The sequence below is a fragment of the Homo sapiens genome, chromosome 1 (genome assembly GCF_000001405.40).
Source record: "Homo sapiens chromosome 1, GRCh38.p14 Primary Assembly".
In the NCBI taxonomy this organism is placed as follows: Eukaryota; Metazoa; Chordata; class Mammalia; order Primates; family Hominidae; genus Homo; species Homo sapiens.
Genome location: NC_000001.11, coordinates 119,410,561 through 119,427,822, shown reverse-complemented (window position 1 = coordinate 119,427,822; position 17,262 = coordinate 119,410,561). Strand labels below are relative to the sequence as shown.

The window sequence follows — 17,262 nt, the reverse complement described above, 5'->3', positions numbered from 1 at the left end:
CTGGAGGTACTGCATGCAGGATACTGATCCAGAAACATGGTGATCATCGGAGACCTATAGCCTACTATAGCCAACACCTGGACCCTGTGGGTTAAGGGCTGCCTCCTGTGTGAGAGCAATAGTAGCCATGGCCCTTCTGTACAAGTCTGTTGAAGAAATAATTATGGGTTCCCCCCTTACCATTTTTGTGCCACATTCTCTTAAGACCCTTCTAAACTCTCATCATACTCAGCATCTGTCAACTTGTTAGCCTCTTATGAAATTTTGCTTTTATCATTTCCCAATATTACTATTTCCCGCTGTAATAATCTTAATGCAGCCACTCCCTTGACAGGCCCTACCAAGGAAACCCCTCATGACTATGTTCTGATGACTGACCAACTTCTCACCCCCAGGACAGACCTATAAGAGACGCCACTGGATAATACTGAGATAGAATCATACACAGATGGGTGTTATTTAAGAGGAGAGGAAGGAAATTTTAGAGCAGGATATGCTGTGGTTTCTGTACCAGAGGTAACTAAAGCCAGTCTTCTTCCCCAAGCCAGATCAGCTCAAGTGGCCGAATTGATTTTCCTGATCCAAGCTTGTCAATTGTCAAAAGACAAGGCTTTTGCCATTTACACTGAGAGCCACTATGCTTTTGGGTTGCTCATGACTTTGGGATGCTATGGAAAGAGACAGGATATTTAACCTCCTCAGGAAAATCCATAAAAAATGGACACCAATTATGAGAGCTGTTAGAAGCTATTTTGAAACCAAAACGTTTGGCAATTATAAAAATCCCAGGTCACTCAAAATTAGACACCATAGAAAGTCAGGTAACCAGCTGGCTGACACTACAGCTAAAAGAGCAGCATCCAAGCCACCAGCCCCAGTACAAGAAATGGCCATAAAACCCAAAAACACTTAGAAACATGTTGAAAGAAACCCAGAGCTCCTACAAAAGGGAAATCTACTTGGAAACAGGCAGGGAAATACTTGGCTCCCAAAACTGAAATATGAAGTGGACCTAATAATAAACCTGTTATTCTAATTGGATGTCAGGTGCCCCTTGTGGAATATGTTCATAATCTAAGCCATTGGAATCCAGATAAAGTAATATCCTGGTGTTAACAGTATTACTGGAAACCATCCTTCACAGTGGCACAAAAAGTTTACTCTTGTTATGTTATTTGTCCCAAATATAACCCACGAAAGCCCCTCCATGGGGCCCAGGGTCATTTTTCCTTTCTGATTGGACCTCTTGAAGTATGGCACCTTGATTTTATCCAGCTGCCATCATCTCAAGTTTACAGGTATGTTTTAGTAATAGTCTACATGTTTTCCCATTGGGTTGAACCTTTTCCCTGTAGGCAAGCAACAGCTATGGCGGTTGGAAAAATCCTACTAGAAAAAAGTATCCCACTGTGGGGAGTCCCCTGTGAACTTCACAATGACAGGGGAACTCACTTTACTGGCCAGGTTATTCAAAATATTTGAAAAATTTGGCCCATATCTCAGCATTTCCATTGTGCCTACCATCCCCAATCCTCAGGCCTGGTGGAGAGAACCAATGGAATAATTAAAACACAATTGGCTAAGTTCACAGAGGCATTTTCCCTCCCCTCATTCGAAGCACTCACCCTAGTGCTGCTTACACTCTGATCAACCCCTTTTGGAAAACATCAATTGTCCCCTTATGAAATTATAGTGGGAAGGCCCATGTATATGGGAACAAACATAACAAATCCAACTTTTCTCAAGGGAGATATACTGCAATATTGTGAGCGACTTTTTTTATCACCTTAAAAAAGTCAAGATTTGGTAAGAAATTCCTTTCATAGTGTGCTCCCTGAAGATAAGGCACCTGGTCACAATCTGCAGCCCAGAAATTTTGTCTATTGGAAAAGACATCTAATAAAGAATTCCCTTCAACCCCGATGGAAGGGCCCATACCGGGCACTATTGACTAATCCATGTGCCACAGAATTAGAGGGTATAGACTCTTGGATTCACATCACTCATCTTAAAAAGTCACAATCTCCTGAGCTGGCTGTAACTTCCACCAAAGACCTTCACCTCAAGTTCACTAAACATCGACTTTTAACCCAGGATTAGAAGCAGATGACAGCTATGCTATTGTGGACTGCTTAAACCCAAGATACAGGACCAGGCCTGTATACAAAGAAATGTCTATGTTCATTGTACAATAACCATTACAATGATTGTCCTAGATATACTGGCAACTGCTGTCTTATACAGAACAGGGCACTTGCTTTGTCTAATTTAACATCTGTTAGTAACTAAAATGAATTTCACAACCTTGCTATTATTAATTATATATCCCTACATCTTCTTGCCACTGATGCCCATGAAACAAATCTGTTTCTGCAATAGGCTCAGGATTATGCAGACAGATTACAAAAGGACACCTGCTGGATATGTGGGCTCATGCCTATCTCCAGTGGCTGTGGCCTGCCATGGTGAGTATCCTTCTTCCAAGGTCAGGACTGGATAGAATACCAAAAATGTATTACATCACAGAAACGGTCTGGTATTCTTAGTGCTGGCATAACAAAAGACAATATATATAGTTGGCCCATTAAAAACACTCTTAAGAACAAGGGACATAGCAAAAGTTTTTCAATGGAAAAGACCAGCTCATTTGCTCTCACTTTAGCATCTCCCCAAGTAAAAGAGAAGGTGGTAACCATGCCTCAAACAATGACCCATTTTCAGAATGGAATAATACAAATTTGGGATGGATTTATCTGGCTCACCCATTCTTTGGCCAACTTAGCAAAACAGTATGAGAGATGTGGGGTGGATACCTGGAGAACATTGAGACCACATTATCATATTATAAGACACTGACTGGCATGCCAACAATTGGGTGCAGCAACCAGATATTTATTGGCTAGCTCCAAATGGGACATATTGGCTATGTGGCACTACCTTATGGCCATGGTTACCTCCAAGGTGGTTAGGATGATGTTCCCTAGGTTATGCTTGGGCACAAGGACAAGTAATTCAGACCCTGCCAAAACCAGCAAACCTTTTTCATTTACACTCTTATTGGATGTGTTCAGTATTCCAATGGCATGATCATTTAGCTTCAATCTTTGTACCACAGATAGGTATTGAAGATGTTATATGGCATATAGAGGCCTTAACGAATTACACCCAAAAGGCCCTGAATGATAGCCGCATGAGTATCCCCTTGCTAAACAATGAGGTTATGCTTATGAGGAAAGCTGTGCTGCAAAATCATATGGCTTTAGATACTCATGACAGCACAAGAGGGGACCTGTGCCATCATAAAACTAAATGTTGTGTGTATGTTCCAGATGAATCAAAGAACATAATGCAACATATGACTGCTATGAAAACCCAGATAACCAACCTGTCAGATCCAAAACCCTCACTAATCGATTGGTTGAGTGGTTGGCTTGGATCCTGGGGAACATGGTGGTAGAAACTATTGTTTATAATAGGAATAATAGTAATAATTTGTGTTCCATCCTGTTTTTGCTTACAATGTTGTTATGGTATGTGCTTGCATGTAAGTCAACGTGCAACTAAAAGGCCCAAAGAATTGCTCTAATTGAGGAGGCAGTAATATACCCTCACCCAGCTTCCAGGTTTGCTTTCCTTTTGTTGCTATAAATCTGGCCTAGGTCCCTATATATTTTCTTTTCTCTCTCTCTCTCTCTCTTTCTGGTTTCCTCTCATTTTCCCTTCTTCCACCCCACCCCTCCATTTTTTTTTTTTCTTCATGGGACAAGATTTCCTAGGAATAAGCCTTCCTAGCAAGGTGAGACATAACCTCCCAGGAATGAGCCTTCCTAGTGATGTGGGACCTGAACTTCTAGGAATAAACCATCCTAGCCATGAGAAACCAGCAAAAAAAAAAAAAAAGAAAAAGCAACCAGAGGCCAGGAATGCATATTTCTTTCAAAATGCAGTACTTCAAAAGAGTTTAGAGAAAAAAAGGGGGAAAACGTGAAAAAAATTAAATTATGGGGCCCCAATCTCATTTAGCCAAAGGGAAAAATCAAGCTGGGAACTGGGTCAGGCAAACCTGCCTCCCCCCTTTTGGTGCCTAAACAAGATGGCTACAAGATGAAAAGCTACATGCCTCCCCCATATTTTGCCCACAAGGAATTTCCTAGTGAGCTGTTAAAACTTCACCACGGCAATGCAAATTGATAGCTTATCACTACCGGTGCAGTTACCCCAGACACAAATGCCTATCTGATTTTTCCCCTACCCCATTTTGTCTGTTATTTTATGTAAAATGCAGGGAATCTGCATTTCCCTCTGCCCCTACTGTTTATGTCATCTTATGTAAAAAATGCAGATTCACTGAGCCAGACAAAGGCATGAATGACTATTTTTTTCCTACCATCCCGTTACATAAAAACTGTGTGCTTCTCAATATCCCTCTCTTTCCCTCCTTTGAATTGGAGCCCTCAAAATCATCTTTGGAGAAAGGCATAGGCCTGTCTCCTGGGCACATCTTCAAGTGAATCTCCTAAAATGATTGAGACGTGTCTTGTCATTTTCCTCAATTGACAGGTTTCTGATGAGTATTAAATGAGATAATATATGTCATATGTAGTTCATTTCATACATGCCTAAAACATAGTAGAGCTTATTCAGTATTCATCTGCCCTTTCTGTACCTCCTACTACTCTGCCCACCCCCCAACCCTGGTTTCATGCTACTCTTCTAAGTTGGAGATGGTGATAGTTGGAAATGAAAGGAAAAGGATGAAAGTATGTATTAACAGAAACCATGCTTCTCTCCATGTTAAGCATTAAAACATTTATTGCTCTTTATGTTGAACTGTGTGAAGGAATAGGAGATTAAAGAGAAAAGAAATGCTTTCTCATTTAAGAGGGGAAATGGAGCTCTATTAGTCAAAAGAGAACCTCAAGTTAAGAGAGACCACAATTGTTCAGAATCAGCCACTGAGATTTGGTAACAGCAAATCATATTGTTTGTCTTCTGGTGTATGATTAGGACAGAAAGTTCTGGTTGGGCCAGTGACTGTGCAGATTTTGATGACATGAAGAAGACAGTAAGTTGGGCATTGTGTGAAAGAGAGGCAGCAGGACCTGGGCTTGTGCCCCTGTTGCCTTCTGTATGAAGCCAGGTGGGTGGAGTTTGATGACATTTCCTAACAATACCCACATGCACATCTCTGTCATCCTTAAATCACTGAGTCTTGGACTTCAGGGTCTCCTTGTGCCGGTCCACAAGGGAACCAACCCACTCCACGGTTTTCTGCTTGGCTTCCTCCCAGCTGTAGAGTGGCTTATACGCCAGATCTCGCTGAGCCTTCTTGTAAGAGAAGGTGAACACACTATTTGATAATGTGACTGTGTGGCGGTTGAAGGGGGGTTGATAGGAGTAAATTGGGCTGAGTAGGAAGCTCACTACTTCCAGCAGGAAGCCAATCCAGTACATCAGGGTTAAAGGAAGGCTCCATCTGGAATCAAGGCGGAGGCCAAACTCTTTGCTCAGGATGTAATTAAGGTTATCATAGCTTTGGTGAGGCGTGTCATCTGAGATGTAATAGAATTGACCTCGGACACTTGGGGCCTTCTTGGGGTCCCGCAGAGCCCTCAAGGCCAGAATGTGGGCCCAGGCCACGTTGCCAACATAGACTGGGTTGACTGTAGAGAACTTTCCAACACTTGACAGGATCCCATTGTTGTTCAGGGCCTCATTTATACTGGCAGAAAGGAATGGGCCTCCTTCCCCATAGATATATGTGGGTCTTAACGCACAAGTGTACAAGGTATCACCATTTTTTAGATTCCACCCATTAGCCGCCAGCACAGCCTTCTCAGCAAGCTTTTTGCTGTACGGGTATGGAGTGGGCCATGTGTTTTCCAGAGGCTCTTCTTCGTGGCCGTTCTGGATGATTTCCTTGTAGGAGTTGGGCCCGGCTACCTCTATGCTACTGGTGTAGATGAAGACTGGCACACTGGCTTGGACACAGGCCTCCAACAGTAGCTGGGTACCTGCCCACGAAGAGCATGATGACAGTGTCAGGAAATATCCCAAAGGAGCTGCAACCACATGCACAGATCCATGTGCCCCACTCCCCACTCCCAAGTGCAGTGGTTATAACAGACTCAGGGTGCATTCTTCTGTGGCTCTGACTGAGATTGGGTCATGATACAGCCGTAGGAAAAACACAAAAATAAAAAGAAACTGACATTTGGGTTCTAGAAAGCAAGAATTTCTAGACTTTTGGGTTTCATGGACCTATGTTTGTGTGTGGTGTGTGTGTGTGTGTGTGTATGTATACGTGTGTGTATATATATATATATATTATAAAATATATATATACATATATATATACATATATATATACATATATATATACATATATATATATACATATATATACATATATATATATACATATATATATACATATATATATATACACACACACTTTAATTTTGGAAAAGGACCTAGGGTAATCACTTTATTTTTTGCCAAGTAAGGATATTGAAAAAGTATGATTTGTCATCAATACAATTAAAGACAGATCATTTAAAATCTAAAAAATCAGGAGGCTATACTCTGAGAATATGAACAGTCCCAATCAGTCCTTAGGCAAGAAAGGGCAGTGGAAGAATTTGTGTTACACACACAAATTCACAGTTGAATATAGGCAATATACACTCTTAGATATACATAGAATTGCTGGTATTTTTCTCATTTTGCAATGGATTAATAAAACTTTGTCACAAAGACCATCCCTGGAGTCATCGAGCAAACAGTGGGTTGTGGGGAGATGCTGGAAACCCACACTCCTTTCCTGATTGTGTGTTCCCTGGAAAAGCTGCTTCCAATTCTGGCTATGACTCTGTTACCCAGTTATATAAAGTGGGGGTGATAAACCTTCCTTTAAATCCTGCCCTGGCATTTCCTGTGGAGCCTGGTGGAGGACTGGGGAGGGAGTGTGCCCTCTGCTGATAACACCTGCACTGGGAAGACCTGTCAGCATCACCTGAGCTGTGTGGAAGCAAAGCTCATGGAGGTATCTGGAGTGTCTTCCCTTGAAGAAGGAAGGAATTTCCTAGGCAAAGGATCATTTTTATTTACTTATTTTGTATTCTTAGCCACTTTTAAAGTCTCTGTGCAATTTGAGTTTCTGGAGAGACAGCCTCATGAAATGGCCATCATTGTGAAGTATTTTCTAAGCCCGGGAGTGATAATGGTTTTAAGAAACAGACGCCTCTAACACTCCCCTTGTCATTTCTTATCCCTTGTTTTTGGGAGCTGTGGAAAGTCAAAATTAAAACAAAAAACTATTCACTCTTAGCACACTCCTTGAACTATAGCGGTACTTAGGGGTATGGCTATGTAGAAACTGGAAAGGTTTTTTTTTTGTTTGTTTTTTTAGACAGTGCTGGAGACTCAAAAGCAATTAGTTGCTTTATAAAAGGAGTTTGGGTAGTCTGAATGTGGAGGGTCAGGCCAGCAGTGGGGAGCTGTGTTTTGAAGAGACTGGGCTCTGGGAATCAGAGGGTGAGACTGCATGGCAAGATTCCTTTAAAAAATGTGGATCAAATGAGGGTGCACTTTGGGCACCTGGCAGGAAATGGCTCTGTAATAGTAGACCCTGTGGTGAGCTGAAGAGATTGTATTCTGGACACTGGGAAACTCTTTTTGTTAAGAAAATATTATGGGAAGGCATGTGCTGGATAATTCTGTCCTGACAGACCTCTGTGAACCAGCTTTGCTAGTTCTCTTGAGAGGACTTCTTTGAGGTGGGCAGGAAGACTCTGAATGTTCTCATCAGCCTACACACAAGGTTCAAAATGATGACTATGGTGGCACCTGGAAGGTCTGATTCTGGCCCGGGGAGCCAAGGAGTAGCTGGATATCGTGAATTTGAAGTTGGAGTTTAGTTGACTTTTGATTGGGGCCACAGTAGAAAGAGCTTCCACAGCCTTTGGAGTCACACAGGAGTGAGTTTAAAGTCTAACTCTCCTACTTACTTACTTACTTTTGGGGCCTTGGACAAGTTACTTGCTGTCTCTCAGCCCTAGTTTTCTCATCTAAAAAACTGAGGTTACCAGCCTTGAACTCCCCAGTCAGTAGTGATCAGCAAAGGCACTTGGCCAAGAGCTCAGCAGGTGTTCAATGGAGTGACTTCTCTTCCCTTTCTTGTCCTTCTTTCTGATCCTCATTTAACCAACTTGTTTTATCTCCTCCCCAGGCTACTGTACCTTTCACATTGACATTCATGATGGACTCTCTGTGAGTGACACCAAAGACATCAATGATACAGGCGGTGTGGATGACGACCGAGACGTCCTGGCAGGCTCTTTTCAGGAATGGCTCATCCAGAATGTCTCCTTCAAGTACAGTCAGCTTGGTCCTGTTCTGGAGCTCTGTGTGAACACAGGTCAGGTCATTGGAAAGATTTCTGGATCTGGCTGGGAAGTTTTCTGATAAAGGCGATGTTACATAGGTGCTCAAAGAGATTAGAGTGTGGGTATTAGAGTGGAGGGTGTACTACATTCCATAAAAGGAACAAGTAAACAAAAGCACAGAAATCAGCATGTGTAGCAGTTTATTGGGAAAGAGCAAACATCTGTTTCTACCCCATCTTATTCCAGAAAAGTAATGTGAGCAGTGAATTGTCACACATCCGTGAAATATAAGCATTGCTAGAGTCATGGGAGACTCACCAAATTTTTTATGGAGAATAGAGTGATTGTGGAGAGTTGGGTATAAGAGGGAAAGTTTGAATTTAATTCTGTAGGCGATGAGGAATCATGTATAGAATTATGATTTTGGGTCTCCAGCACCATGTCAAAGAAAAACCCTTATTTATGTTGGAATAAGTAGAGAAACAGGCCGGGTGCAGTGGCTCATTCCTGTAATTCCAGCTCTTTGGGACTCTGAGGTGGTGAATCACTTGATTTCTGGAGGTGGAGGTCTGGCTGGAAAACATGGCAAAACCCTGTCTTTACTAAAATTACAAAAATTAGCTGGGCGTGATGGTATGTGCCTATAGTCCCAGCTAATCACAAACCTGAAGCAGGAGGAAGGATGGAGTCTGGGAGGTGGAGGTTGCAGTGAATTGAGATCATGCCACTGCATGCTAGCCTCAGTGGCAGAGAAAGACCCTGTCTCAAAATAATAATAATAATAATAATAATAATAATAATAATAGTAATAATAATAAAAGATAAACAGACGCAGAGTTGTGGCGTAGGAAGTTTACCTTGGCTTGAGGATATAAAACAGACTGGTATAGGGGAAATGAGAAAGCCAGGTGATCAAGAGATTAATCAGAATGTCTGTGCCAAAGTTTAGATGAGGACTGGAACCAGGGTCCAGCAGTGGAAGCAGAGGAGGGGAGAGATGCACTCCAGGTTTGAATTTCAGACCTCACCTTGAAGGTCCTGGTACCTACTGGAGCTGGGATGAGAGGAAAAGGAGACAAAATCACCCTTACAGTTTCCTGCTTGGGCAACTGGGAGGAGAGTGGAGCCATTACTCAGGAATTGCAGATGGGCTTAAATGATTAATTTCATTGAGAAACTTTTATCAGATATCATAAAAAGCAGATAGCAATGCTGAAAATGAGTTAGCCACCAATGAACTAACATCTCAGCTGTCTAATGTCTAGCCAAGGGCAGCGGATGTAACATCCATATCTTCAGGCTCCTCTGAAATCCACAGGTAGTGACGCTGCCGGTAAAGTTGTCACCTGGAATTAGCCCACAAAATGAACACCATGCTACATGGAGCTCAGATAAATACTCTACACTCATTTGTGCTTTATAATCTGCATACGGCTCACAGCTTGCTTATTTCCTTTTACAGCTATCTCGTGAGGTAGGTATTCTGAGTCCCACTTTATTGGTGAGGAAACTGAGGCTCAGAGAGGTTAAGGGACAGATCTAAAGTCAATTTTCTAGTGAAGGCTCAAACCTGCCCATTCCACCTGCCATTTTTGTACCCTGTACCCCAGGTGCAGGAATAGCTGTTTAGAATCAACTTTTCTGAGAAAGAGTAAGAATAAGCCAGTTTAACTGAAAATGCCCACAAAGGCCAAAGAACAGTGAGAGCGAAATTCAGAATGAAAAATTCAAGGCTGGAGAAATTCCTTCCTGGGATACAGGTGGGACCATTTGCTCTTCTGATGCCTCTGCCTTGTTTTGTCTACTCCCAGCCCCTTCCCACTGTCAGGCAACTCCAAGAAGGCCCTGGAATGGTGGAGGCAGGGAAGAGGCTGCTGGGGAGGAGGTGGGTGTCAGCCCGAGAGTGGAATTTTCTCTGGTTGTATTTCCACCTCTACCTTTTCTACTCCCTTCATCTGCTTCTCCTTTGCTGCCGACTTTAGACAGACTGGCTCAAAGGAATTGCCATTTCATAGCAGAAGTCCAAAGCCGATAGAAAATGACTCTTCCCCGGTGAGTTTCCATGGATCTAGAGAGACCAGAAAAGCGCAATTTTTGATGGAGTCTTAGCTCCCTCCTTCTCCAAGGCACTGTGGACTTGGCAAGTGTTTCATGTAGACTAAATTCAGTTGCTTTTGTGTTGTGTGTTGGGCTGGAGGGAGGCTCAGAGAAGCTGCTAGACAAACTACTACTTAAGAGCACAGAAGCTGCACTAGACTGCCTGGATTCAAATCCAGCTTTGCCGTAATCTAACTTGGGACCTTCGACAAGTTGATTAACCTCTCTGTGTCTGTCTCCTCATCTATAAAAAAGGAGGATAATAGTATTACCCATCTCATAGGGTTGTTATGGGAAGTAAATGAGTCAGCACATGCAAAACCTTTAGCACAGTGCCTGGCACAGAAAGAACACTGAAAGGATTCTCTGTTTTTATCTTCATACAGGCCCTGCCCATCCATTATGCTCCCTGCATTTTCACCATAGCAGAACTCTTCCTCTAGACTGAGCATTGCTTTTTCCTGGTATCAGATGTTAGATTGTAAATATTGCTGAGACATAAGGATTACAAACATTTAATATCAGTCATGTGTTAATATCTGTTCACTATTAGAACAGAGAGTGGAGGAAATTGGACATTTAAAGAGGTCAGAGAAGAGTGAAAGAAGAGGAGAGTGTCAAGGGGAGCTTCTGTGTGAACAGGGCAGGACCTTCTAGGCAGCCAGAACCTGCATGAAGAAGATACATAGTTCCCCCAGTCCCCTGGGTTGGGAGGAAAACATGGAATTGGTTTGGGGCACACAGAGAGGCAAAGGGAGAGACTGAAGACCCACCAAGGATTAGCCCGGGGGTCAAGTGATGAAGCTTCTGGAATGAAGCTCTGGTCTGAGCTCTGCTACACATTAATCAGCTGTTCTTGGCAAGTAACTTTATGTTTCTGGAACTTGATGGGTTCATTGTCCAGTTGGAGGTGACCCCTTTTCTACCTTCCTCACAGGGTTATTTGCACAAAGAGTTACTACAGCAAATTCTGCAGTCAATTTATTTGGAGTATTGAACAACAGATACAAATGGTTTTTTTTTAAAAAGGCTATATATGAGAAATATAAATGAGGCATGTTGGCCTCATACTGCCTTTTACTCTGTCTCTGCTCTGTGCCGTGCACTTGTGCATGCTCTCTTTCTCTCTTTCTCTCTCTCTCACTGATGATCTCTCTCACTTTCACTCTCTCTCTCTTGCTGATGCTCTCCCTCACACTATCTTTCTCATTCATTCTCTGTCTTTCTCATTCTCTGTCTCTGACCTTCTTTCCCCCTCATTTTCTTTCTCTGTCTGACACACACACACAATTACACACACATCCGTACCTTCACTTCCTTTTATTTTGCCCTCACTAAAGATACTAAGGAAGCTATAAAATGAAATGAAGCCTGGGGCAGTCTAGACAGGCAGGACCCACTGGTGAGGTCTCCAGGTAAATGATGTCCTTTGTGAATGTCGCACAGCAATCGCCAAGACAAAAAGCTTCAGAACATAAGAGTTGTAGACAAGAAGGAGAACTCATGTGTGACTCTCTAGAAGAGAAGAAAAGGGGCCTTGAGGCTGACATGGCTGCCTCTCAAGTTCTGCGTCAGGGCCAGAATCCAGTCTCTGGACACCCCATCCAGTATCTTTCACACTATACCATTTTATTCTATTTCCTTTCTGATGACTTTAGATGTGTGACTGGCTTTCATTTGGCTACAACTTTCCTTAACTTGCTAGACAAGGTCAACCTCCCCACACCCATGCAGAGTTTAAGATGGAGCCACAGACCCATGACTCAAGTTTACTTACTAGAAAATTCCTCTCTCAATTCTGGTCTGAAGGCCTTGTCCAAGGCCCTGATCTCCTTCAGTTCCTTCTCTTCCACCAACAGGCGGACGATCCTCTGACCCAGAAGCCCTCCTGCTCCTGTCACAAGGCAGCTCCAGCCCATCGTGGCCAATCCAAAGTAGCAGGAAACACTTGCCAGGAAACAGAAGATGCTGGAGAGCAGATCTGATTCTAGCGTGACCCAGAAGAGGGCTAAAAACAAGAGGTAAAATGGTTATACACTCAGCAGATGCCTTATTTTCCTCCACCCCATTTTTTACAAAAATTCCATGACCCCACAACTGCCAGGAGTAGTTGAAAGAAAAGGAGAAAGCTCTAACCGTAACTTAGATTGTTAAAAGCTGGACAGAGGAGTCCAAGTCCTTACTGCCTCATCCCTGGAGGAAGGACTGGAGCTTTATGCTCTGTGGCTTGTGTCTCAGCCCTTATTACCTTGAACTCCTGCCACATACTCATTGCTCCCTCCTCCTCCAGAATCCCTTTTCTCAGAATAATAGTGACCTTTAGGTTATATCTCTAATTCTTCCCAGGAACAGGAAGAGAAATCCAATCTTAAGGCCACAGTGTGATAAAGAGTCTTGGCTTTAGCCTTAACAGAACACTGGTCAGTTGATACCAGCTGTCTGGGATCTGCAATCTGTGAACTTAAACCAAACTGGGAGAAGTCTCCAAGTGCAATGTAAATGTTGTCCTTGTACAGTAAATCCACCTGGAGGGAGATCTATTTTAGCCCATTATCAACTCTCTGAGAGTGTCATTTGAAACGTCACTGCTGTCTTGCAAAGTTTAGAAATTTTCAATGGTGACAGCTCCAATCACTAAGTTTTATGTGAGGTGACTTTCTTTTCCACCCAATATATCCAAAACCTCAATTGCAATTTTTCCCTGGAGAGCTCTGGGTTCCTAATGGAAGAACCTCATTGAAGGAAAGGTATCTAGTGATAACGAATTAATCATATGGCCTGTAATACAAGTGTGGGGATTTGTAGTTGTATGCCCAATGACTCTAATCATAGATATTTGCACTCATCTTACATTTTTGGCTGCAAAACCATTCTTAGCAAATTGTTGAACTGAAGATGCTATGAATGCTTCTGAAACCTATGCCCCAGTCTGCCCAAACATCACTGCCATAAACTCCCCAAGACACTTTTCTCTACTTAAAAAAATAGAGATGTAGTTTTTTTAAGTAGATGTAATCTGGGCATTACAAGGCCCAGATCTTAAGCGTTCAGTGTACACTTAAGTGTTCATTGTCAATGAACCTTGACAGTTATATATGTCCATGTAAGTACCAACGAAAAGAAGACCACCATTTCCTTCACTCCAGAAAGTTTTATCTGCCTGTTCTTAGTCAATTGCCTGCCCTCCCCCGAGTTTACCTGGTAGGCAATTACTTTCTGATTTTTATTCCCACAGAGTTCCCACTTTATTCCTATATTTTCCTAATTTTTTCTTCTAAGATCTTTGTGATTCTGGATATATATTTAAATATAAAATCATTCTGAACTGAAGTTTTGTTCATGGAGTACAGAAAAATTGACCACTGATTGTCTCTATTGTTTGTTCATTTTTCTATTTCATGATTTTCATTATTTTTATTATTGGCTTAAATGTTTATTAACTTTGGGTTTATTTTACTCTTCTTTTTCAGGGTTCTTATGATAAAAGCATAGATAATTGACTTTACTTCTTTGCTCATTTCCACCATAGGCATTTAAAGTTGTAAATTTCTCTCTAAACACTATGTTAGCTGTATCCAACATTTTGATGCATTGGGTTATCATTATTCAGTTACTGACGTTTTGAATTTTTTCTTGTGATGTCTTCTTTGACCCAAGTGTTATTGAGAAGCATGTTGCATGTTTTCTAAAACTGGGGATTTTCTTATTGTTATGTATTTCTAATTAAATATTATTGTGGCCAGAGCATATACTCTGTATGATTTTGATTCTTTGATATATATTGAGATTTGTTTTATGGTCCAGCCTATGGTCTATGTTGGTGGAAATGCCATAAGCACTTCAAAAGAATGCTTTCTGAAGTTGTTGGAAGTCATACTCTACAAATGATTTAGCTTGACTCCCCATTCTGGGTCTTGCCTTTCTCCTGTGTGTAGACATTCACCTTCTACTTGGAACCTGGCTGCCAATGCTTCAAACCCACTTGCCTAGGAAAGGTTGGTCCTGTGATGCAAGGTGTAGCAGCTTGTCTTCTGAAGCTCTCAGAACTAGACACGGGCCCTGGGACTTGTGGAGCACTATCTGAAACCACCCAGGTGCATCACACACCTTTGCCTGCCATATCAGATGCTGGAGTGCACCTTACAGACCCCCATGACCTTCAGGGTGGGACCAAATGTTCCTTCAGCTGTTGAGAGTTCTGGAGGCTCTTAGAGTTCAGGCAGTGTCTCTTGGAGTCTGAGTGGAAGCAATAACTGTAAGCTTTCTTTAAACCAATAAATATTTTGCTTTCTTTAGGAAAGTGAGCAGTAGGACAAAGAGCAAGGCTGCTGGGGGCCACACTACCAACTTTCTGTTTTTAAACAGCTTTACTGAAGTATAATTGACATATTATAACATTCCCATTTTAAGTGTACAGTTCAATTATTTTTAGTAAAATTTTAGACTTGTGTAACCATCATCACAATCCTGTTTTGGAACATTTCTATCTTTCCTAAGAAATCCCTCATGCTTATCATTTGCCACCTCTTATTCCCAGCCCCCAGCTCTAGGCAGCCCTCATGACTTCCTGACTCCACAGATTTGATTTTCTGGACACCATATAACTAGAATCATGTAATATGTGGTCTTTTGCATCTGCCTTCTTTCACATAGCTTAATATACTTATGTGTTTCATCTATGTTGTAGCATGTATCAATATTTCATTCCTTTTAGGTGGCAAATTCTATTAAATTGTATGGATGGCTGCCATTAGTTTATTCATTTATCAGTTGATAGATATTTATGTGTTTCCCCCCCTTTTTTTTTTTTTTTTTTGAGATGGAGTGTCACTCTGTCACCAGGCTGGAGTGCAGTAGCATAATCCCGGCTCACTGCAACCTCCGCCTCCTGGGTTCAAGCGATTCTCCTGCCTCAGCCTCCCGAGTAGCTGGGACTACAGGTGCACGCCACCATGCCCAGCTAATTTTTGTATTTTTAGGAGAGACAAGGTCTCACCATGTTGGCCAGGATGGTCTCGATCTCTTGACCTCATGATCTGCCCACCTTGGCCTCCCAAAGTGCATTATGGATAAAGCTGCTATGAATATTCACATTCATGTATTGTGTAGACATACATTTTTATTTCTTTAGGGTTGACAGGAGTAAAACTGCTAGGTCATATGGTAAGTGCATCTTTAATGTTTTAAGGAACAGCCAAAATGTTTTTGAACATGGCTGCCTGTCCCATCAACAATGCATGAGTATTTCAATTTTCCCACATCATTGTGCTTTCACTTCCTCCAATTGTTATTGTTTTATTTTTAGTATAGCATTCTAGTGGGTAAGAAGTGGTGTCACATTGTAGTTTTGATTTGTATTTCCCTGCTGACTGATGATGCTCACCATCTTTTCTGTACTTTATTGGCCATTCCTACACCTTTTTGGTGAAATGATTATTCAAATATCTTGCTCATTTTAAAATTGGGTTATTTTTCTTTTTGTTGTTTAGTTGTGAGTGCATTTTACATTCTGGATATGAGTCCTTTATCAAATATATGATTTAAATTTTTTTCCTCCAGTCTGTGGCTTATCTTTTCATTTTCTTATTGATGTCTTTTAACATGTAAACATTTTTAGTTTTGATCATGTCTCATTTTTCGACTTTTTTCCTTCTACCAGGAAAATTTGGGCTTTTGCCTAATCCAGTGTCATGTATGTATTAATCTCTGATTTCTTCAAGAAGTGTATAGTTTAGCCCTTACATTTAGGCCTATAATCCATGTTGAGAGAATTTTTGCTTATGTGTGAGTTAATGGCCTAAATTCGTACGACCAATTGATTTTGACAAAAGCAAATTCAATGGAAAAAATGATAGTCTTTCATACATGCAATCCTGAGACAATGAAATTGTCCTCCACATGCTCAGAGAAGGTCAGCATGCTGTGTAAAGTGATACTCATCTGAGTTACCACCTATTGGCATCAGAGTTTGTAAAGAATTTCTCAATATGATGATCACGGGTTAAATAATATGCTGTATTAGGAAAACTCACAAAGATTACTGATCAGCAAAAGAATAGGCAGCATGATTTCCCCATCCTCCTATCTTATGCTGATGCATAAATTGTTAGGAAATTGCTGGGCTAACAATGTGAGTATTCATTCCAGTGTAGGAACACTAATCTCCCTTATTATAACTTTTTATGATGTAAGCACAAGGACACAGGCTTACATCCCTTATTATAACTTTTTATGATGTAAGCACAAGGACACAGGATCCTCAAGGGAGGAATACAGGCTGTTGGCGTGAAACAGTCTGGATTTAGGTGCCAGCTATTCACAAGATTGTCTGCGAAAATCAACTACCCAGCACCTAGAGTCCTTGGGACTCATGCAAAGAGTTTCCCTTTTCTTAGGGGAGAAGACACCCATTCTACAGGGAGCTATATTAGGCACAGTCCCTCATGCTGGAAAAAGGAAAATCCCTCTTCTTGGCCAGCTTATTAAAATTCTGGGTTACTTTAGGATAATTACACCCCCTGTGCTAGTCCTAGAGAGGTCAATTTGTATGTGAGAAGCATATAATAATTTTTAAAGGCACAGGACTAGATGAAATAAGCTAGGGTAATAATATTCATGGATAAAAGGAAAAGTTTCCAGACTGAATCCTGGAATAGATATATCAACATTTAGAGGTTGAAAAGAGGAGGAGGGGCCAGCTAAAGATACTGAGTAGAAGTTGGTGGCAGGAGGAAAATTAGGAGGGGATGGCATTGTAAAAGTCAACTGGAGAAAGTGT

The 17,262-nt window shown here is 41.6% G+C and overlaps 1 protein-coding gene across 2 annotated transcripts, besides 13 other annotated features; it reads right to left on the bottom strand.

Moving 5' to 3' along the window:
- HSD3B2 (hydroxy-delta-5-steroid dehydrogenase, 3 beta- and steroid delta-isomerase 2) lies at positions 4,789–12,892 on the bottom strand. Of its 2 annotated transcripts, none has more exons than NM_001166120.2 (4): positions 12,733–12,892; positions 12,262–12,492; positions 8,241–8,405; positions 4,789–6,014 (listed from the first exon to the last, which is right to left on the bottom strand). In NM_001166120.2, exons 2-4 carry the CDS (start codon positions 12,401–12,403, stop codon positions 5,203–5,205), a joined length of 1,119 nt encoding a protein of 372 aa, NP_001159592.1. In that variant the 5' UTR covers positions 12,404–12,492; positions 12,733–12,892; the 3' UTR covers positions 4,789–5,202. The 2 variants fall into 2 exon arrangements, with proteins under 2 accessions (NP_001159592.1, NP_000189.1); NM_000198.4 differs by lacking the exon at positions 12,733–12,892 and adding an exon at positions 12,621–12,673.
- Positions 11,707–12,906: an enhancer, noted in NCBI's record as "CDK7 strongly-dependent group 2 enhancer chr1:119957540-119958739 (GRCh37/hg19 assembly coordinates)". NCBI's record gives its function as "activates an origin of replication core promoter dependent on BRD2, BRD4, P300/CBP, MED14 and CDK7 cofactors, with strong dependence on CDK7, by STARR-seq in HCT116 cells {active_cell/tissue: HCT116}" and the evidence as "EXISTENCE:reporter gene assay evidence [ECO:0000049][PMID:35650434]".
- Positions 11,707–13,746: a biological region, named in NCBI's record as "HSD3B2 5' regulatory region". NCBI's record gives its function as "regulatory_interactions: HSD3B2".
- Positions 12,479–13,196: a promoter, noted in NCBI's record as "-583 to +193 promoter fragment". NCBI's record gives the evidence for it as "EXISTENCE:reporter gene assay evidence [ECO:0000049][PMID:15291746]".
- Positions 12,498–12,526: a protein binding site, noted in NCBI's record as "+147 to +175 site". NCBI's record gives the evidence for it as "EXISTENCE:protein binding evidence [ECO:0000024][PMID:15291746]".
- Positions 12,530–12,565: a protein binding site, noted in NCBI's record as "3beta2S probe". NCBI's record gives the evidence for it as "EXISTENCE:protein binding evidence [ECO:0000024][PMID:15291746]".
- Positions 12,620–13,746: a promoter, noted in NCBI's record as "-1073 to +53 promoter fragment". NCBI's record gives the evidence for it as "EXISTENCE:reporter gene assay evidence [ECO:0000049][PMID:15928316]".
- Positions 12,724–12,742: a protein binding site, noted in NCBI's record as "SF-1/Ad4BP site; -60 element". NCBI's record gives the evidence for it as "EXISTENCE:protein binding evidence [ECO:0000024][PMID:9065466, PMID:15498889]".
- Positions 12,772–12,801: a protein binding site, noted in NCBI's record as "Stat5 probe". NCBI's record gives its function as "positive regulation of promoter activity" and the evidence as "EXISTENCE:protein binding evidence [ECO:0000024][PMID:10406460]".
- Positions 12,792–12,811: a protein binding site, noted in NCBI's record as "NBRE". NCBI's record gives its function as "mediates induction of transcription by cyclic AMP" and the evidence as "EXISTENCE:protein binding evidence [ECO:0000024][PMID:15498889]".
- Positions 12,798–12,811: a protein binding site, noted in NCBI's record as "FXRE". NCBI's record gives its function as "positive regulation of promoter activity" and the evidence as "EXISTENCE:protein binding evidence [ECO:0000024][PMID:19059462]".
- Positions 12,861–12,878: a protein binding site, noted in NCBI's record as "-196 GATA site". NCBI's record gives its function as "positive regulation of promoter activity" and the evidence as "EXISTENCE:protein binding evidence [ECO:0000024][PMID:15928316]".
- Positions 12,983–13,002: a protein binding site, noted in NCBI's record as "FP2 site". NCBI's record gives its function as "important for promoter activity" and the evidence as "EXISTENCE:protein binding evidence [ECO:0000024][PMID:14671206]".
- Positions 13,557–13,576: a protein binding site, noted in NCBI's record as "FP1 site". NCBI's record gives its function as "positive regulation of promoter activity" and the evidence as "EXISTENCE:protein binding evidence [ECO:0000024][PMID:14671206]".

Excerpts from the sequence above, each read along its gene's own strand:
- HSD3B2 (NM_001166120.2), bottom strand. The coding sequence starts at position 12,403 with ATGGGCTGGAGCTGCCTTGTGACAGGAGCAGGAGGGCTTCTGGGTCAG. Across the intron at positions 8,406-12,261 it reads ATTGAGAGAGGAATTTTCTA|AGCTCCAGAACAGGACCAAG; the intron begins GTAAGTAAACTT and ends GTGTTCACACAG. Across the intron at positions 6,015-8,240 it reads CATGAATGTCAATGTGAAAG|GTACCCAGCTACTGTTGGAG; the intron begins GTACAGTAGCCT and ends CTTCGTGGGCAG.